The 20682-nt window shown below is 42.6% G+C and overlaps 1 protein-coding gene and 2 pseudogenes across 5 annotated transcripts in view, besides 2 other annotated features; all 3 read left to right on the top strand.

Moving 5' to 3' along the window:
* The window catches only part of PPIP5K1P1-CATSPER2 (PPIP5K1P1-CATSPER2 readthrough), a 59470-nt pseudogene extending 41140 nt beyond the window's left edge, over window positions 1-18330 (top strand). The window contains exons 30-40 of the transcript NR_146339.1: window positions 829-975; window positions 1425-1598; window positions 1774-1842; window positions 8396-8568; window positions 9094-9249; window positions 9864-9988; window positions 12673-12851; window positions 13476-13532; window positions 15958-16175; window positions 16529-16693; window positions 18160-18330. The product of NR_146339.1 is annotated as a PPIP5K1P1-CATSPER2 readthrough (transcript). The remainder of the gene's footprint in view (window positions 1-828; window positions 976-1424; window positions 1599-1773; window positions 1843-8395; window positions 8569-9093; window positions 9250-9863; window positions 9989-12672; window positions 12852-13475; window positions 13533-15957; window positions 16176-16528; window positions 16694-18159) is intronic.
* Window positions 8-20389, top strand: CATSPER2 (cation channel sperm associated 2). 4 transcript variants are annotated; one of them, NM_001282309.3, is made up of 14 exons: window positions 48-74; window positions 183-263; window positions 826-975; window positions 1425-1598; window positions 1774-1842; window positions 8396-8568; window positions 9094-9249; window positions 9864-9988; window positions 12673-12851; window positions 13066-13165; window positions 13476-13532; window positions 15964-16175; window positions 16529-16693; window positions 18160-20389. In NM_001282309.3, exons 3-14 carry the CDS (start codon window positions 831-833, stop codon window positions 18189-18191), a joined length of 1587 nt encoding a protein of 528 aa, NP_001269238.1. In that variant the 5' UTR covers window positions 48-74; window positions 183-263; window positions 826-830; the 3' UTR covers window positions 18192-20389. The 4 variants fall into 4 exon arrangements, 3 of the variants coding, with proteins under 3 accessions (NP_001269239.1, NP_001269238.1, NP_742093.1); NM_001282310.2 differs by lacking the exon at window positions 183-263 and having other exon boundaries at window positions 8-70; window positions 18160-18330; NM_172095.4 differs by having other exon boundaries at window positions 48-263; window positions 829-975; window positions 15958-16175.
* Window positions 9687-10216: an enhancer, noted in NCBI's record as "active region_9317". NCBI's record gives its function as "activates an Ori minimal core promoter by ATAC-STARR-seq in GM12878 lymphoblastoid cells {active_cell/tissue: GM12878}" and the evidence as "EXISTENCE:reporter gene assay evidence [ECO:0000049][PMID:35858748]".
* Window positions 10267-10396: an enhancer, noted in NCBI's record as "active region_9316". NCBI's record gives its function as "activates an Ori minimal core promoter by ATAC-STARR-seq in GM12878 lymphoblastoid cells {active_cell/tissue: GM12878}" and the evidence as "EXISTENCE:reporter gene assay evidence [ECO:0000049][PMID:35858748]".
* RNU6-610P (RNA, U6 small nuclear 610, pseudogene) lies at window positions 11154-11260 on the top strand (annotated as a pseudogene).

Here is a 20682-nt window from a genome sequence, read left to right as displayed (position 1 = left end):
GGAGAGCGGGGCGGGGCGGGGCCTAGGCGGCGAGTGGCTGGGCGAGCGTTGCTCCGCATGGTCCTGGGCTGTGGGTAGGGGCTAGGGCCGGGTCCCGGGGTGAGCCGAAACCTGGGGGTCGAGCGGGGCGGGGAATGGGGCGCAGTGAGGCTGGGAGCCGGCCCTGAGCTCGTCTTGCATAGGGGTAGCCAGGCTCGGGGCACCTGAGCTGGAGGCGGAAGCGTGAAATAAGGACTGAGTGGGCAAAGAGAACCTGGGCTGAGGTGAGGCCCAGAAGCGAGAATGGAGGAGAGAAGGAGCTAGCCCCCGAAGGAGTGTTGGAGTGGACACACTTGGGACGGGACCCATTTTCAAAATGTCAGGCTTTGGCATTTTGTCCAATTTCTCTGCACTTGGTTTCTCTTGCGTGAGCAGGCCAAGACCTCCCCCAACTCCACCTCATTGCCCGATTGTCTCAGGCACAGGTGGGACCCAGATTCTTTGTCCAGCCCCGGGCCCCTGCCCTTGTGGCTGCTCCTTTTTCTTGCGGTGTTTTTGTTTGTTTTGTTTTGTTTTTAATGAGTTTTAATTAGAAATGCCATCACAAAGTGAAGATGCCTGGCCGCTTGGTCGACTGTGCAATGTCTTTACCACTTAGCCCCTTTTGTTTCAAAACACCCTGAGTCCTAGTAGAATGTTTGTTCTTCCCAACTGCTCCTAGTTCGTAGATGTGGGTACATTAAGGAATCTTAAGGGTAAAGAGGGTGGGGAGGAGGGGACAGAAAACCTGTAATCCTTGGTGCAGCTCCAAGAATGAAATGACACTTGATGCTTACATTTTCTTAGCAGACATGGCCGCTTACCAACAAGAAGAGCAGATGCAGCTTCCCCGAGCTGATGCCATTCGTTCACGTCTCATCGATACTTTCTCTCTCATTGAGCATTTGCAAGGCTTGAGCCAAGCTGTGCCGCGGCACACTATCAGGGAGTTACTTGGTCAGCAGCCTATTTCTTCACTAATTTAAATTTAAGACTCCTATCCACATCCTCTACATTTAAGAGTGGAAAATTCTGGGGAGGTTTAGTTGCTGGTTTACCAAACTTGATAAATCAAGGGCTTGTAAATAAAACTGAAGAGATAGAATCCACGTCTTTCACTTTTAGGCCTAGGATAGCCACTAGCCATGGATGATTGGGAAGAGTTTCTGTCAAAGACTCTTAAAACTTTGAGAGTGAGCCTGCTGCTTTTGTGGGCATGGACAGTGTTGGTCATAAGCAATACATTTGCTCTCACTCCAAACAGAATTCTTAGTTGCTGTGAGAAGAGAAGGACTAGCAGTAAGGCATTAGGGGAACCCATTACCTGACCAGTATCCCTGCCCCCAACCCTACCTGGTCTATTTTGTTTGTATTTATCCACTATCCCTTTTTAATTTTTGTTGTAGATCCTTCCCGCCAGAAGAAACTTGTATTGGGAGATCAACACCAGCTAGTGCGTTTCTCTATAAAGCCTCAGCGTATAGAACAGATTTCACATGCCCAGAGGCTGTTGAGCAGGCTTCATGTGCGCTGCAGTCAGAGGCCACCTCTTTCTTTGTGGGCCGGATGGGTCCTTGAGTGTATCCTTTCATGTCACTCATTTTTATCCTGGCTGTTGATCATCTGCCTAATGACTTATTTTTTGCTCCCCATACTCCACTGTCTCATTTTCACTGCTTATGTTATTGCTCTTATTATTTCAGCTGCATAAATCAGAAAGAACTCCACTCTGTACATTTCCTTAAGAGACAACAGGTCCTCTCTTCAAAAACTTCATCATCTTCCTGGTCTTTTTGAATACGATCATATTGATGGTTGAAATAGGTGAGAACTGACCTTGTATGAAAGAGGAAGTGAGGCCGGGCACGCCGGCTCACACGTGTAATCCTAGCACTTTGGGAGGCCGGGGCGTGTGGATTGCCGGAGCTCAGGAGTTGGAGACCAGCCTGGGCAACATGGTGAAACCCTGTCTCTACTAAAAAATACAAAAAATTAGCCGGGCTTGGTAGCACGCGCTTGTAGTCCCAGCTACTTGGGAGGCTGAGGCAGGAGAATCGCTTAAACCCAGGAGGCGTAGGTTTCAGTGAGCCGAGATTGTGCCACTGCATTTCAGCCTGGGCGACAGAGTACAACTCTGTCTCAAAAAAAAAAAAAAGAAAAAGAAAAAGAGGAAGTGGGTAGGAGTAATTTTTTTTTCTAAATTGATCATTTTACATTTTTGAATGTCATTTGAAATGTGACATTTATATTAAGGACAATTATATTAAGCCTCCTGGAGTAGAATTTATGCAACTGCTAAAATCTAGAAATATTCGCTGGGCACGGTAGCTCACACCTGTAATCTCAGCACTTTGGGAGGCCGAGGTGGTTGAATCACTTGAGGTCAGGAATTCAAGACCAGCCTAGCCAACATGTTGAAACCCCATCTGTACTAAAAATAGAAAAAATTAGCTGGGCGTGGTGGTGGGCACCTGTAATCCCAGCTACTCAGTAGGCTGAGGCAGGAGGACGCTTGATCGTGGGAAGCCGAGGTTGCAGTGAGCTGAAATCACGCCACTGCACCCCATCTCAAAAAAAAAAGAAATATTAATATTTGGAGGCTCTCAAGAGTATACTAGATACAGAGCATCTAGACACATAAAACTAGGTGTAATATGTAGCAATATAACAAATCCACAAGGAACTGAACTTGGGAAGACCAGTTTTATTTCTGTTGTCAGTTTAGCCTGACATTTGTTTGAATTAACCTTTTCTGTTAAAGATATTGGTGCCTATCAGTGAACGATCTAACATTTACATTTTTACAAGTATATTTAGAAAGATTAAGTATAAATAAGAAAGCTCACAAAGTATGGAAAGGTAGGTACAACTAAGATATTAGCTGAGCCAAAAAAATTACTTAAAAAGGAAATGATTCTGAAACCAATAATAAATTATATGAAATACATTCAAAACATAAGTATGTCTGCAAAATCAGTGAGCTCATTTGTTGATAATCTCAAACTGCTCAGAAATGATGAAAGGACAGTAGAACTTGTTTCATTCTCACTGTTGTGGGGAAGTCTCCCACTTTATGTTTTAGAGACAGAGTCTCACTTTGTTGCTTAGGCTGGAGTGCAGTGGTGTGATCATGGCTTGTTGCAGCCTCGACCTCCAGGGCTCAGTTGATCCTCCCACCTCGGCCTCCTGAGTAGCTTGGACTACAGGTGCATGCCCACTACACCAGGCTAATTATGTTGATTTTATTTTTGTAGAGACAGGGTCTCACTATGTTGCCCAGGCTGGTCTTGAACTCCTGGGCTCAAAAGATCCTCATGCCTTAGCCTCCCAAAGTGCTGGGATTACAGGCGTGAGTTACCACGTCCAGCCTAGGAGGAATTTTTAAGAGAAGGGAGTAGTTATGAAGCTCTTGGCTGTTTATTTCACACAGATATTTTCCTCAACAGAAATGTCCAGTGCCTGTAGCCAGTTCAGGACTCTGCCTCTAGCTCCAAGTCCCCTACAAGCTTATCTCTGGGGCCCAGGCATGGTGGTTCATGCCTGTAATCCCAGCACTTTGGGAGGCTGAGGCGGGAGGATCGCTTGAGCTCAGGAGTTTGAGACCAGCCTGGCCAATGTGGAGAAACCTCATCTCTACAAAAAATACAAAAGTTAGCTAGGTGTGGTGGCACATGCCTGTAGTCCCAGCTACTCAGCAGGCTGAGGTGGGAGGATCGCTTGAGCCTGGGAGGCGGAGGTTGCAGTGAGCCATCATGCAACGGAACTCCAGCCTAGGTGACAAAGTGAGACCCTGTCTCAAAAAAATAAAATAGTCCTTTACTGCAGTCAGGTCAAAGATATTTAAATATACAACAATAATTGATGTCACAGACCCACTACAGTATACTATATACTTTGAGGTGTTTTATTTCCTCCTCGTAATGGTGAAGATTTTGAACTAACTTACTTATAATTCCCTTTTATTGTATGATTGCTGCCATGTATTTGCCTTGCATGGCTAGAATTATAGTCCTAAGCCTTGGAATGAAGTAAATAATAGTAACTATACAGGATTTCCTAGATCAGTGGTCCCCAGCCTTTTTGGCATCAGGGACTGGTTTCTTGCAAGACAGTTTTTCCATGGATGGGGTAGGAGGGAGGTTTCAGGATGAAGCTGTTCCACCTCAGATCATCAGGCATTAGATTCTCCTAAGGGTCACGCACATGCAGTTCACAATAGGGCTCGCCCTCCTGTGAGAATCTAATGCCGCAGCTGATCTGACAGGAGGTGGAGCTCAGGCGGTAATGCTCACTCACCCACCACTCACTTCCTGCTGCATGGCCGGGTTCCTAACAGACCATGGACTGGTACCAGTCCGTAGCCTGGGGCTTGGGACCCCTGCCCTAGATCTAATAGACAAATCAAAATAGAATAGCACTAACTATTCTATTTGGTAAAACAGTTAACTGAATATGAAACATGGTCACTGTGCCAGAGGATAAGTAGATTGCCAGACTAGAAATTACCTGGCAAGCTCCTGGAAATTTTATTTTATTAAGCTTATTCTTGTGGTAGAAAGGGAGGAGGGATTTTGCAGAGGGAAATTATTTGTGATTAACAGATTTCTTTGAACAGACTAATTCATATGATAAACATTAAGACTTTTTTTAGGCTTAAAAAATTTTTTTTCCAATCACAAAGTGATCTAAACTGTTAGGGCTTTAAAAAAATCTGCTTCCACAACTGGATATTGGTAATTCTCTTTTGCATTTTAAACACCAATTGGCTTATTTTAAAAATCTCATATTTTGTTTCTAAATAATGAGAAAGAAAAAAAGATTTGACTCATTTGCAAGCATTTGTCAGAAAATAACACAATGCAAGTGTAGATAATCCTTAAAATTAAAAACTGAGTATATTGGGAGGCTGAGGTGGCAGGATCACTTGAGGCCAGGAGATTGAGGCAGCAGTGAGCTATGATCTCACCAGTGCACTGCAGCCTGGGTGACAGAGCAAGACCCTGTCTCAAAAATAAAATAAAACCTAAGTATAATATCATTACAATTTTTTCCCAAAGGTGGGCATATTCCTGAAGATTACAATTTTTTACATTGACTTTTAAAGTACTAGAGAGGGTTTGATGTGCTATATAAAGTTTTTGGTCAAATGAATGGAATTTATAGAATCAGATGAACATCATCTTGAGATTATACTTGCAGAATTATCATTCTTAATGCTCTTCATGAAATTGTATTGCTGGCTGGGCATGTGGCTCACACCTGTAATCCCAGCAATTTGGGAGGCCTAGTCCTGCGGATCACTTGAGGTCAGGAGTTCAAGACCAACCTGGCCAACATGGTGAAACCCCGTCTCTACTGAAAATACAAGAATTAGTGGGTATGGTGATGCGCATCTATGGTCCCAGTTTCTCCGGAGGCTGAGGCAAGAGAATCGCTTGAACCTGGGAGGCGGAGTTTGCAGTGAGCCGAGATGGCAGCTGGGCGACAGAGTGAGTGGGAATCCATCTCAAAAAAAAAAAGAAAGAAATTATGTTTCAACATCAGTATTCCTTGTTTCATGATGGATATAACTAGCCAAAACATTACTAAAAATATTAAAACTGTGTAAATGTCAACATCTACATATCAGTTTGTTGCAGTGTACTATTCTCCTCACCTATAATATTGGACTCCTTGAAACCAATGTGAATTTACCTGGTATTCTGTGAGGTGACCTACTGTTGTTTTTCTAGAATAGGGAGTAGCAATAGATGACTGTTCATGGTGAACTCTACCCTGTAAAACAGAATTATATATTTGCCTGACTTGCTTGATCAAATGGCTACTGTCTGTCACCCTGAGAAGAATATTGAAGCATAGATGTTCACTGCTACTTCACTTCACTGGCTAAGATTCCTGGGTAGACTTCACTGGGCTCCTGGTCTCTATTTCCATTAAGACTCCTTTGCCTTGCTATAGCAGCCTGAAAAATTCCAAGAATTTTAAAAAGTTATTTTTCATCTTCAGAGAGGACACATTACTTGATGTAGAGTGGAGGCAGTCACTTCTGCACATTCTGTGCTGCTGAGGCAATTTCTGCTATTCGTTCCTCTGAACTTCCTTGGGTTTGTTTAGCTTCTATAAAATTATTCATTTTTCCAGAGAGTAAAAGTGCTACTGCTTCTATAATTTGGACTTCCCTACTTAAACTATTTTAAACTACTCAAAACTATATTCTGCTTTACAAGAGCCTTATTTTACTTCATTGCTCTGTTTGGGTTCCTGTTTTGCAAGGGCAAAAACTGAATAAAAATTATAGCATTCTATTTTCCAGCCACAAATGTGGTCCTCAGCTCTTTCTAATTATATAATCCCATGCTCCTGAGAGCTAGAATTTATTGTTAAGTGAAAAAATTTTGTATTTTATTGAATTTAAGCTGTCATCAATGGTGAAATTCACTGTTTACCAATAAGAAATAAAAATCATGCTCAATTAAACTGGGACACATCGCTGGTTGTAAAATGCATCCTCACTTTGGGAGGCCGAGGTGGGCAGATCACGAGGTCTAGAGATGGAGACCATCCTGGCCAACATGGTGAAACCCTGTCTCTACCAAAAATACAAAAATTAGCTGGGCATGGTGGCGCATGTCTGTAGTCCCAGCTACTTGGGAGGCTGAGGCAGGAGAATCGCTTGAACCCAGGAGGCGGAGGTTGCAGTGAGCTGAGATTGCACCACTGCACTCCATCTTGGCAACAGAGCGAGACTGTGTCTCAAAGAAAAAAAAAAAAGCATCCTAATTTCATGTATGTTAAAATGTGAAAAATTGTCCGTCTTAGAGAAACTTACGTGAAAGAAAAACTTACAGAAGTACAGAGCCTAAATAAGCATAGGAGTGCTGGGTGCAGTGGCTCATGCCTATAACCCCAGCACTTTGGGAGACCAAGGCGGGCGGATCGCTTTAGCCCAGCAGTTTGAGGCCAACCTGGGCAGCATAGGGAGACCCCATCTCTACAAGTAATTTAAAGAAAAAATTAGCTGGGCATGGTGACATGTGCCTGTGGTCCCAGTTACCCAGAGGCTCTTGAGCCCGGAAGAGCCAGGCTTCCGTGAACCGTGATTATGCAACTGCACTCCTCCAGCCTGGGTGACAGAGTGAGATTCTCTCTCAAAACAAGCATAGAAATAAGTATAGCGTAACTCCATTGGTTTTTAGAAGGGGCCAACCTCTGTAAAATTCTAGGGATGATTGAAGTATTGTTCTGTTCTTTTTGTCTGGATTCAGTTCAGCATCAGGATGACTTTAAAGCCAGAGCACCACAATGTTGATTTCTATTTAGCTCTTAAGCCTATTATAATCTGAGTGTTTTTTTTTTTTCCAAGGGTATGGCATACATCCATTCATTGTATAAAAGAGATGAAGAAGGTTGAAAGAGAAAGGCAATGAATTAAGGAATAGCAATTAGTAAATAATAGGTTTCGGCCAGGTGTGGTGGCTCACGCCTATAATCCCAGCACTTTGGGAGGCTGAGGTGGGCGGATCACCTGAGGTCAGGAGTTTGAGACCAGCCTCAACATGGAGAAACCCCATCTCTACTGAAAATACAAAATTAGCCGGGTGTGGTGGTGCATGCCTGTAATCCCAGCTACTCGGAAGGCTGAGGCAGGAGAATTGCTTGAACCCCGGAGGTGGAGGTTGCAGTGAGACAAGATCGCACCATTGCACTCCAGCCTGGGCAACAAGAGCGAAACTCCATCTCAAAAAAAAAAACAAAAAACAAAAAACAAAACAAAACAAAAGTAAATAATAGGTTTCTAGAGAGGAAATTTGCATTCAGTTTGCTTTGCAGAGCAAAATTTTAGGCAGGGAAGAAAGGAAAAGTTTTAAAAGAAAGCTAACAGAACCAAGTGATTTATTGTTATAATTCGATATACCCTAATGATTGTGGCTTGTTTCTACATTCGTTATAAAGTAGTTCAGATATCATGGCCCTGTATTTTCATTCTGTTCTCAAGACCCATTGCTTTCTTGTGAACTTTGGGACTGAGATAACAGTACAGTAGATGGGGGTGGGGTTTGGAGGTAGGGGTAATTAAAGAGAGTACTCTCTTAGTAGCTGTGTGAGCCCCAGAGTGGATCGCAAGTGACTTGTAGCTGGGCAGACATAACTATATGAACAGATTGGTTGTGGCTGTGTTTTATGGTCAATTCTGTCCTTCCCTGTATTTCACAGGTTGAAGCAACAGTGTTAAGAAGAGAAACTCTTAACTCTTAACACAGTGTGAAGAAAAATGGAACAGTAGTGGGCAAAACTGTGGTTTATAAGTGTGTTCATTCTCCATCATTCGGTTTCCAGCTTCCTTAACTTTTATTCCTCCTTTGCTCTATCTTCACAGAATTGCTGGAATCCACAAATACCAAACTATGGCCATTGAAGCTGACCTTGGAGGTGGCAGCTTGGTTTATCTTGCTTATTTTCATCCTGGAGATCCTTCTTAAGTGGCTATCCAACTTTTCTGTTTTCTGGAAGAGTGCCTGGAATGTCTTTGACTTTGTTGTTACCATGTTGGTAAGGATAGAGATCCTGAGGGTTCGTTTAGTGGGATGAAGAATGTGCCTAGGTGAATCGAAAGAACAAGTTAACATGATAATAGGAAGAAACAAAAATTTACTTAACTTCTTTCTTTTGATTTTTTTTCCCTAAAACTAAACATCAATCATTGCAGGAGTTGTTGGTATTAGGAGCAAAGTAGACTAACTACAACATCAATGCCAACAAGAGCATCTGCCGGTTACTGAGCACTTACTAAGTGCCAAGCATTATTTTAAGTGTTTTCCTTACATTATCTCATTTATGCTCCACAACAACCCAATTAAATAACCATGAATTTTATCCCCCTTTTTATATCTGAACAAGTTTAAGTATAGTGTTTAAGCAACTTAATATAGAAAGGCTGAATAGTAAGCACTTCTCAGAGAATGCTATTCAAGGGATAACGCCCAGGGAACAATGAAGAGGATAAGATGAAGAAGCTGCAATTCTGCCTGGGTGCCTTGGGGTGTATTTTACTTATAACCTGTGTGTTTTCCACAGTCCCTGCTTCCCGAGGTTGTGGTATTGGTAGGGGTAACAGGCCAATCGGTGTGGCTTCAGCTTCTGAGGATCTGCCGGGTGCTGAGGTCTCTCAAACTCCTTGCACAATTCCGTCAAATTCAAATTATTATTTTGGTCCTGGTCAGGGCCCTCAAGGTGATTTGACTGTTGCAAGCTAAAGCAGGGGGCAAGGTAGATAAATGTGAGGGCTTAACATAGAATATGAAACAAATTGGCCGGGTGCGGTGGCTCACGCCTGTAATCCCAGCACTTTGGGAAGCCGAGGGGGATGGGTCATGAGGTCAGGAGTTCGAGACCAGCCTGACCAACATGGTGAAACCCTGTCTCTACTAAAAATACCAAAAAAAAAAAAAAAAAAAAAAAAAAATTGCCGGGCTTGGTGGTGTGTGCCTGTAATCCCAGCTACTCAGGAGGCTGAGGCAGAAGAATCACTTGAACCCGGGAGGCGGAAGTTGCAGTGAGCCGAGACTGCGCCACTGCACTCTAGCCTAGGCGACAGAGTGAAACTCCGTCTAAAAAAAAAAAAAATATATGAAAGAAATCTGGGTGGGTCAAAGAAGGCAATGAAACGTCCTGTGAAATGTTATTGGATGAGAAGGGGCTGGGGACAGGTGCCATGGTTCAAAGATGACTGGGTTCAGCAGTGCAAGAGAGGGTTTGGTGGGGGATTGCCAGGTGAGCTTGACTGGGCTGTTGGTGGAGATCAGCCTAGTTTGGCCCACATCTGACATGAGAGTTATGGCCTCTAGAGCATGACCTTCCTCTTGATGTTGCTGCTCATCTTCTTCTACATTTTTGCTGTGACTGGTGTCTACGTCTTCTCAGAGTACACCCGTTCACCTCGTCAGGACCTGGAGTACCATGTGTTCTTCTCGTAAGCAGAGCTGGGGACAGCTGGGTGAGGGGAGAAAATTTGGCTAAGAGACCAGGAAGCTTGTCCAAAGTATAGTAATATAAAAAGTGCAGTCTATTCCAAGAAACTGAAATAGAACACAATAGGGAGAGGGAAAGAGAAAGCAAAAGAATAGTGAATGGTATTAGCTCTGATCTTGAGGTTAGGGCAGCTAGTTCCATGTTTATTCTGGGTTTTGCAAATTCAAACCACACTGTCATCAGGCATCTTTAAATAGCAGTACACTCCAGTGGTTAAGCTTGGTTTCTGTGACTCAGTTACCTCTTTTGAAAAATGGGGGCAGGGCGCGGTGGCTCACCCCTGAAATCCCAGCACTTTGGGAGGCCAAGGCGGGTGGATCATGAGGTAAAGAGATCGAGACCATCCTAGCCAACATGGTGAAACCCTGTATCTACCAAAAATACAAAAATTAGCCAGCCGTGGTGGCAGGCGCCTGTAGTCCCAGCTACTCGGGAGTCTGAGGCAGGAGAATTGCTTGAATCTGGGAGGCAGAGATTGCAGTGAGCCGATATAGTGCCACTGTACTCCAGCCTGGCAACAGAGCAATACTCCATCTCAAAAAAAAAAAAAAAAAAAAAGAAAGAAAGAAAAAGAAAAGAAAAATGGGAATAGGCTGGGCACAGTGGCTCATGCCTATAATCCCAGCAGTTTCAGAAGCCAAGACAGGTGGATCACCTGAGTCAGGAGTTCGAGACCAGCCTGGCCAACATGGTGAAACCCTGTCTCTACTAAAAATACAAAAATTAGCCAGGTGTGGTGGTGGGCGCCTGTAATCCCAGCTACTCCAGAGGCTGAGATAGGAGAATCACTTGAACTTGGGAGGCAGAGATTGCAGTGAGCTGAGATTGAGCCACTGCACTCCAGCCTGGGCAACAAAGAGTGAAACTCCATCTCCATCTCAAAAAGAAAAGAAAAAAAAAAAAAAGAATAATAGCAGTGCTACTTCATAAGAGTGTGGGGTTAAATGTGGTAATGCATTTAAGCACTTAGCACAGTATGTAACACATTATAAGTGATCAATTAATGTTACTATGATTCTCAAATATGATCACTGGTTTTATCCCAATCTCTACATATTACACATGCACACGCCTATTCCTGATCTCTGTCTAGAAAACACTAATCAGTGCTCACTTCGGCAGCACATGTACTAAAATTGGAACGATATAGAGAAGATTAGCATGGCCCTTGTGCAAGGATGAAACACAAATTTATGAAGTGTTACATATTTTTTAAATATTAAACCACTAATCAGTGTTTTCTAGAAGAAAATCAACTTGAATTTTGAGTGGATAATCCTGTTTATGAATTAGAATTCAATCTTGTCAGTGCCTCTCAGCACTCTGTTAAATTCTAACAGATAGTTTTGTAAGAGTATTGAGTTAGGAAAGTCCCAGATTTTATCCTATAAAAGCTCTCATGTTTTCGATAAATTGTATATGGGGGACTAAAAAGAAAGGTAGGAAAATTTAGATACCTCCCTGGAAACTTTTTACTTTTTTAGTAATTTTTAAATATTAATTTTATAATTTGTATATATTCATTATTTAGGATCACATATGTTTATGTAACATACCCATTTGCTTGGGTATCATTTCATACCAGCAAACTAATAGGAATAATTTTGTGAATGATCTTCTATTTTGCTAAATTTGCTAATTTTGCTAAATTTTGCTAAATTTGCGAGTGATCTTCTATTAAGTGGAGTCCATAGAGCAGTAGAGAATAAAATTAGAAAAAATGGCCAGCCATGGTGGCTCACACCTGTAATCCCAGCACTTTAGGAGGCTGAGGCAGGCAGATCACTTGAGGTTAGGGGTTCAAGACCAGCCTGGCCAACATGGTGAAACCTTGTCTCTACTAAAAATATGAAAATTAGCTGGGCATGGTGGCGCATGCCTGTAATCCCAACTACTCGGGAGGCTGAGGTGAGAGAAGTGCTTGAGCCTGGAGTGCAGAGGTTGAAGTGAGCTGAGATCACGCAACTCCAGCGTGGATGATAGAGTGAGACTCTGTCTCAAAAAAAAAAAGAAAAAAAAATAGAAAAACTATCTAGTTGGTGATTCATTCATCTTTAAAAAATTCAGTCAATACCTGTTTATTATTTATTATACCCAAGAACTAATGGAATAGTGAGAGTTAGTCATAGATTATTCATGATAAAGGAGAATTTAGGCTGGGTGCGGTGGCTCACACCTATAATCCTAGCACTTTGGGAGGCTGAGACTGGCAGATCACCTTAGGTCAGGAGTTCGAGACCAGCCTGGCCAACATGACAAAACCCCATCTCTACTAAAAATACACAAATTAGCTGGGCGTGGTGGTGCATGCCTATAATCCCAGCTACTCGGGAGGCTGAGGCAGGAGAATCTCTTGAACCCAGGAGGTGGAGGTTGCAGTGAGCCTAGATCGCGCCACTGCACTCCAGCCTGGGCAACAGAGTGAGACTGCATCTAATAAAAACAACAACAAAAAAAAACTTCAAACTATAGAATGATTAGCTAAAAACTGAGTATGGTAGAAAAGGAGCCAAAATCAGAACAAACTACAAAGAAATGCTTTATGTTTCTTTAAAAGTAAGAATGGTACCATTTTTGAAAGGTTTAGGTCTCTGCTTCTGTCTATTCACATGTCTTTTTCTTTAGGGACCTCCCGAATTCCCTGGTAACAGTGTTCATTCTCTTCACCTTGGATCATTGGTATGCACTGCTTCAGGACGTCTGGAAGGTGCCTGAAGTCAGTCGCATCTTCAGCAGCATCTATTTCATCCTTTGGTTGTTGCTTGGCTCCATTATCTTTCGAAGTATCATAGTAGCCATGATGGGTAAGCATAGAGGAGGTGAAACTTGTTTGGGAAGTGTGGTTGGGAAAAAGTTATTCTGAAAGCTGGGATTGGTGGCTTATGGGTATAAAGAACCTAGTGTAGCAGGAAGGCTTGGGTTCTGGATTGGATATTTCACTTGGATTCTCCCCACCCAAGCCCTCTTCCCAAGTCTAGTCATTACCATCTCCCAGCTCCTAATGGCCCTTTGGGGCAGTTACTAACTTTCAGAATATCAGGAAAGAGCTGAATGAGGAGATGGCGCGTCGGGAGGTTCAGCTCAAAGCTGACATGTTCAAGCGGCAGATCATCCAGAGGTCTGCTTCTCCCTTTTCAACCCCAACTTTCCTTCTCAAGGGTTTCCTGAGCTCATTTCTTGTTTCTACTTCTCGACCCCACTTTTCCCTTTGTGACAGTAGATTTGCCCCCAAGGATAAGAATTCTCCAGCTCTAGAATATTGCCTGATTCTTCATCCACTGTGGGGTGTCCTCCATTTTTTTCACCCCTTGACTACAATTTGTTCTCCCCAATTAGTTTTCTTCACTTTCTGATATGAACTTTTTTTTTCTTACCACACTTTTGCTTGAATATAACTGTCTTTGCTCTTTTTTTTTTTTGCTCTGCAGGAGAAAAAACATGTCACATGAAGCACTGACGTCAAGCCATAGCAAAATAGAGGACAGGTTAGGAGTATGTATGTGAACTGGGATAGAAACACATGAAGGAGGAGAGGGTGGAAAACTAAAGATGAAGATTGGCTTTGAGAGATAATTCATTCATTTAATAACTGCATATTGTAGTAGGTTGACTAGTGGCACCCGAAATAATATGTCCATGTCTTTGCTCCCTGGAACCTGTGAATGTGACCTTATTTGGAAAAAAAAAAAGATCCTAAGTTAAGGATCTTGAGATGAGATCATCCTAGATTATCCAGGTAGGTCCTAAATCCAATGGCAAGGGTCCTTATAAAAGATGAAAGAGGAGAAGACACAGAGAATAGGAGAAGGCGATGTGAAGACGGAGATAGAGGTTGGGGCTAATGCCACCGCAAGCCAAGGGAAGCTGAGGAATGCCAGGCAGCTGCCAGAAGGTAGAAGAGGCAAGGAACTTCTCCCCTAAAGCCTCCAGAGGGAATATGGCCCTGCCAACACCTTCATTTCAGACTCTAGCCTCTAGAATTGTGACGGAATATATTTCTGTCATTTTAAGCTACCAAGTTTATAGTAATTTGTTATGGCAGCCACAGGACACTAATACAAATACCTTCCATGAAACAGATATGATTCTAGACCCCAAGTGTTTAGCAGTGGACAAAAAAAGCAGAAGCGGAAGTAAACTCATTCACTTATTAACAAATAATTACTGGCTAGATGAGGTGGATTATACTTGTAATCCCAACACTTTGAGAGGTGAAGGCAAGAGGATTGCTTGAAGTTCAAGCCAGAAGTTCAAGACTGCATTGAGACATGATTGCACCACTATACTCCAGCCTGGGCAACAGAGCAAGATCCCATCTCAAAAATTTAGCAGGGTGGGTGCGGTGACTCATGCCTGTAATACCAGCATTTTGGAAAACTGGTGGGCAGATGACTTGAGCTCAGGAGTTCGAGACTAAACTAGGCAATATGGTAAAATCCTGTCTCTATGAACAAAAATTAGCTGGATGTGGTGGTGTGTTCCTGTGGTCCCAGCTACTTAGGAGGCTGAGGTGGGAGGACTGCTTGAGCTGAGAGGTTGAGGCTGTGGTGAGCCGTGATTGTGCCACTGCTCTGCAGCCTGGGTGACAGAGCAAGACCCTGTCTCAAAAAAAAACAAACAAAAAACAATAAAGAACAAATAATTATTGAATACTTAGTAGGTGCTTGGGATGTTATCAGTGAACAAAATAGACAATAATGCCTGCTTCATGGAGCTTACATATTAGTAGTGGTAAAGAGATAATAAGCAGTGAATATATTAAGTAAATTAATCTGTTAAAATATGATAAGCATTATGGGAAAATTAAAAGTAGAACAGGTTAAGGGAGATTGGGAGTAGAAGGTGGGATTGCAAATGGGTTGTAGGTTTTTTTTTCTTTTTTTTTTTGAGGCAGAGTCTCGCTCTGTCACCAGGCTGGAGTGCAGTGGCACGATATATCGGCTCACTGCAACCTCCGCCTCCTGGGTTCAAGCGACTCTCCTGCCTCAGCCTCCCAAGTAGCTGGGACTGCAGGTGTCCGCCACCATGCCTGGCTAATTTATTTATTTATTTTTTTGTATTTTAGTAGAGACGAGGTTTCACCATGTTGCCCGGGCTGGTCTCAAACTCCTGAGCTCAGGCACTCCACCCGCCTCAGCCTCCAAAAGTGTTAGGATTACAGGTGTGAGCCATCGTGCCCAGCTGCAGATGGGTTGTAGTTTTAAACAGGGTAGTCACGGTGACCTCATTGAAAAGGTAATGTGAGCAAAGACTCGAAGGAGGTAAGGGGATTACCATGTGGATATCTGTAAGAAGATTGTTAATAGGCAGATGAAACGGTGCAAAGCTCCGAAGCTGGAAGCATGCTTGGTTTGTTTGAGAAACAGCAGAGGCCATTGTGACTGGAGTAGAGTGAGCAGGGGGAAGAGTGCTGGGAAATGAAGTCAGAGAGAGAATGGTGACCTGATCCTGTAGGGTTATGGGTGCCATTGTAGGGACTTTGAAATGGCAAGCAGAACAGAGGAGTGACATGAAGTGACTTACGTTTAAGAAGGATTACTCTGGTTGCTGTGTTGATAGAAGAACAAGGGAAGGAGTAGAGAGATCAGTTGGGAGGCTATGCTGCTGCCCAGGCAAGAAATGATGACAGCTTAGGCCAGAGTGGTGGCAGTGAGTTATTGAGAAAAGATATATTTCGAAGGTAGAGTCAGCAGGATTTCTTGATGGACTGGATATGGGAGGGGAGAGAAGAGTTAAGGATGACACATGAATGATTGAGGTTGGAAGTGCCTGAGTTTAGAGTTTGGGAGTAGTTTGGCCCTCATTGTCTTATGCCCCAGCTTTAGGGGGTGGCCAGGGGCAGAACCAGAATAATGAGTGGACTAGTCATATCTTGTAAATGTTTGTGAAGCCATAAATTTCTTCTTTAAGTTCAAGAGGAGCTAGTCAACAAAGGGAAAGTTTGGACTTATCAGAAGTGTCTGAAGTAGAGTCTAATTATGGTGCCACTGAAGAGGATTTAATAACATCTGCATCAAAAACAGAAGAGACCTTGTCAAAAAAGAGAGAGTACCAGTCTTCCTCCTGTGTCTCCTCCACATCCTCTTCCTATTCTTCCTCTTCTGAATCCAGATTTTCTGAATCTATTGGTGAGCCGAAGAACTATAATAATGAGTTTTTTCCATTTGAATTCAGACTCCTCTTTAAGACATCTTAGTCTTAACAGGAGCTCTCCTAGTATATCTCCTTTCCAATTTTCTGGTCTTAATTACTTTGTTTTTGCTTCTTAATTTCCCCTGTACTTCTTCTTCACTTCGGGTAAGTGTGGCTGTGGCCCTCTTTGCTCGTTGTAAAAAGTGGTTTCTTACTGATGCACCCTTTCCCTCCTTGCTTCCTGTTACCTCTTTCCACCCCACCTTTCCACCCACACCATAGGATTTACCAGCTCTTACCCAACTTTTACAAATCTAGACGTGCTTTTCTGAAGCATTCCTCCCTGCAGGTCGTTTGGACTGGGAGACTCTTGTGCACGAAAATCTGCCCGGGCTAATGGAAATGGATCAGGATGACCGTGTTTGGCCCAGAGACTCACTCTTCCGATATTTTGAGTTGCTAGAAAAGCTTCAGTATAACCTAGAGGAACGTAAGAAGTTACAAGAGTTTGCAGGTATGGAGTTAGGGCAGTCATGGGGACCATGGGAATATATATATAGCGTTTATAGCTGTGGAGAAGGAGGAGGGTGTCCACTATTCTGGCATCTCAGCTTCTCAATTTCTGCCTACAACTAAAATAGGCAGAAACTAAAATTCTTGGTTTGGTATGTCACATTCTGGGAATGTGTCCCACTTTTCCCTAACTGAGAGAGAACCTAGAAACTCTGCTTCTGTAGCAGGGGACACCCAAATCCTATGAGGTATGAGAGCTTATTTCCCAAGAAGAGAAAGTCTAATCCCAGTTGTTGGGAATTAGGACAAGGTAGGCTCTTGCTTGATTTGGGCAGCCCACCAGTTTCTGCACGTTTATTCTCTCTGAAGATTGCATTTCAGACTTGAGCAGCAGGGCCTAAGCCTCAAGCTGGAGAGCTATGGGGGATCAGACAATGAGCAGTATGCCCACACGTGCTCACTGTCCTAACTGCCTAAAGAGGTTTATGAATTCTAAACTTCTGTTTGTATCTGCCCCTTCTAGTGTCAGCCTCTATAAAGATAAATATGTGATTTAAATAGTAGAGTTTGATGTAAACTGGGAACTATCTATTCAAAGTTATTTTTCCTAAATTTCATTACTCTATGACTAATTTGGCTTAATACAATTTCCCTCTAAAAGGAAAAAAAAAGGCCGGGCACGGTGGCTCACACCTGTAATCCCAGCACTTTGGGAGGCCGAGGCGGGCAGATCACAAGGTCAGGAGATTAGGATCATCCTGGCCAACATGGTGAGACCCTGTCTCTACTAAAATACAAAAAATCAGCTGGACGTTGTGGCACATGCCTGTAGTCCCAGCTACTCGGGAGGCTGAGGCATGAGAATTGCTTGAACCTGGAAGGCGGAGGTTGCAGTGAGCGGAGATCACGCCACTGAACTCCAGCCTGGCAAAAGAATGAGGCTCCGTCTCAAGACAAACCAAAAACAGAAGATTTAGGGGTGGATTTTAATGATTTAATATGTGTTATCTGGGTTTTTCCCCTCATACCTAGTTGAAATCAACTCAGTTTGAAAATAAGAAATTAGAGAGGAGGACTGTGTGTTTGTGTGTGGTGGGCACAGGTGGGAAATGAGGAATTTATAATATTGGAACATGGAATTTAGGGCAAGATGTGAAAGACAGGCTTTGCTTACTTCACAATGTTGCCTAAATTTAATCCTGTTCCTTCTAGTCATTCTTAGCCCTGACTTCCCACTTATTCTCTAGGGAGGACAGGGTGAAAAGGAGGAAAATGCAGCAAGGTAGTTTCTTTAATCCTAATAAAACTTGTCTATGGCAAAGAGTACACAGAATCATATGGCTTAATTTAAAGATTAGTAAAGACTTGTGAGGGAACCTAGAACCCAGAAAAGCAAGGTCTTCACCAAACATTTATATATGTAGAATATTCTTAGCTCTCCAGCCTCACAATCTGTTTCCTTTGCAGTGCAGGCACTGATGAACTTGGAAGACAAGTAAAGCAATGGATGGCTTCAATATCCTTGGGCCCAGCAAAAGATAATGAAGGGAATTGTTGGAAATAGAGAATTGAAAATATAAACATTCAGATAGAACAATGTCTGTTCATTAAAATTAAAAAGTATAAGTGTCTAGGCCAGGCGTGGTGAAACCCTGTCTCTACTAAAAATACAAAAAAATTAGCTGGGTGTGGTGGCAGATGCTTGTAATCATAGCTACTTGGGAGCCTGAGGCAGGAGAATCACTTGAACCTGGGAGTCAGAGGTTGCAGTGAGCCAAGATTGCACCACTGCACTCCAGCCTGGGCAACAGAGTGAGACTCTGTATAAGTGTCTTATAAATACTCCTGATAGCTGCTCAGTAGTGTGACCCTGAGATAAGGGATATTGAAAGGCATAAGGTCAAGTAAAAGAGTTAGTTCAAGCTGAGTGTGGTGATGTGTGCCTCTAGTCCCAGCTATGGGCTGAGGCAGGATTGTTTGAGGCAGGGAGTTCGAGGCTACAGCAAGCTAGGATCATATCACTGCATTCCAGCCTGGGCAACATAGCGAGACCCTATCTCTAAAAAAGAACAAAACAAGTTAGCTCAGATGCCAGTGGAGTCTGTGCTCCTTAGCTTTCTACCCTTTCCACAGCTCCTGAATCTGACTCATTTCTTGACTTTATCATTATAGCTTCCACCCTTCCTGCAACCTCTACTGCCTGATTAGAGTCCTAATTTTACCCTCTCCCTCCCTGATGCATAGGTAAAGGCCCCTCTGTGGAGTAAGGAGATCTTCAGAGCTGTTAGTGTAACTAATTGAGAAGTATTGTTTCCATTGCGTGTTCCACTCATGTTGCTTCTCTTGTGAACCATTAACTTTAATTGGATATTATTTTTACCTGTTTCTGGACCGGAAGTCTCTTTATTTCATTTTGCCATAGCTCAGGGCAGTGTTCAAATCAGTAAGTGTTGTACAGGTTTTTAGTGTTAGAAGGGATTTCAGAGTTAATCTATCTCCCATCAAAGCAGGAACACCTTTTAGAACATCACTGAAAGGAGGATTATCCAGGTAATGCTTAATGTTTCTAGTTATTTGGGATTTATTATCTAGAAGGGATCCCATTCCATCGTTAGAAGACTTAAGTCTTTAGACATGTTTATTATTAAAAATTATATCACTTATTGAGTGTTTAACATGTATGAGGTTATTTATATATTTAGTATATATATACTGTATATAGAGTATGCATATTTCATAAAATAATCATATATGGAAGATAGCGTCACATTTTTAGAGATCAGAAAACTAAGGCCTAAAGAAATTAAGTAAGTTAAGTAGCTTGCCCAAGAGCACATACCAAGTAAGAGGTAGAGCTAAGGTTCTAACTCAGGTTAAAAATTCTGAGTTGAGAAAAAAATCAGTTGAAGCCATTTAAACAATAAAATAGCTTACTGGAGACTGGAAAATTCAAAGGTAGTATAGCTTCAGGATTGATTTAATGTAAAAATTCACTGTTGTTAGATCTGTGGTTTTGTTTCTCTGGAATTTTCCTGTCTGCGCTCTCCTCCACGTGTTCTTGTTATTCTCAGACTGGCTTCACTTGGGTAGCCAGACAATTTTCTGAAGCGCCTAGGCTTGCATACCTATTTCCCCATATGCAGGGGAAGAGAGCCGGTGACTCCTTTCTCAGTCAATGAACAAAATTTTTGAGCTTTGGGTCACAATAATGGTTATTCTTGGAGTGAAGATACTGATGGGGAGGAAGCATGAAGCATCTGGAGTGCTATAGATATGTTCCATATCTTGATCTGCATGGTGGTTACACCGGTATATACAGATGTAAAAATTCAACAAAATGTACACTTAAAATTTGGGCATTAACTGCAGGTAAGTCAACCTCCACTCCTCTAAAGATATCCTGACCACCACTCTGATTGGACCAAGAAGTTAGGTCATATGCTTACGTCTGAACAAATTGTTGAGGTAAGGTGGTGGTTGTGATGAAATCACTAATTAAGGCTTTCTCCTGAACTGGAGGTAAGGTCAGTAACACCCAACCTTAAGTAAGGGCTGCTACCCAAGTGGGGAAGAGATGGAAGGGGGCAATAGGGTGGTAATTATAAAGTCCTCACCTAAGAGTATGTCTGGCAAAAAGGCCAAGATGGGGAAAAGGCAAATGAATTGAATGTCCAGAATAAACAAATCTATGAAGACAGAAAGTAGATTAGTGGTTTCTTGGGGGTTGGGGAGGGAGGAATTGAGACTGACAGATGATAGGTATAGGGTTTATTTGGCAGGTGATGGAAATGTTCTGGAATTGGATAGTCTTGAATAGTTCAACAATATAATATATTTAAAAACACTGAATTGGGCCATGTGCAGTGGCTCACGCTTGTAATCCCAGCAGTTTGGGAGGCCGAGGTGGGCAGATCACCTTAGGTCAGGAGTTCAAGACCAGCCTGGCCAACATGGTGAAACCCTGTCTCTACTAAAAATACAAAATTAGCC

Source organism: Homo sapiens, chromosome 15, assembly GCF_000001405.40.
Source record: "Homo sapiens chromosome 15, GRCh38.p14 Primary Assembly".
Lineage (NCBI taxonomy): Eukaryota > Metazoa > Chordata > Mammalia > Primates > Hominidae > Homo > Homo sapiens.
This window is presented reverse-complemented; position numbering and strand designations above follow the sequence as displayed.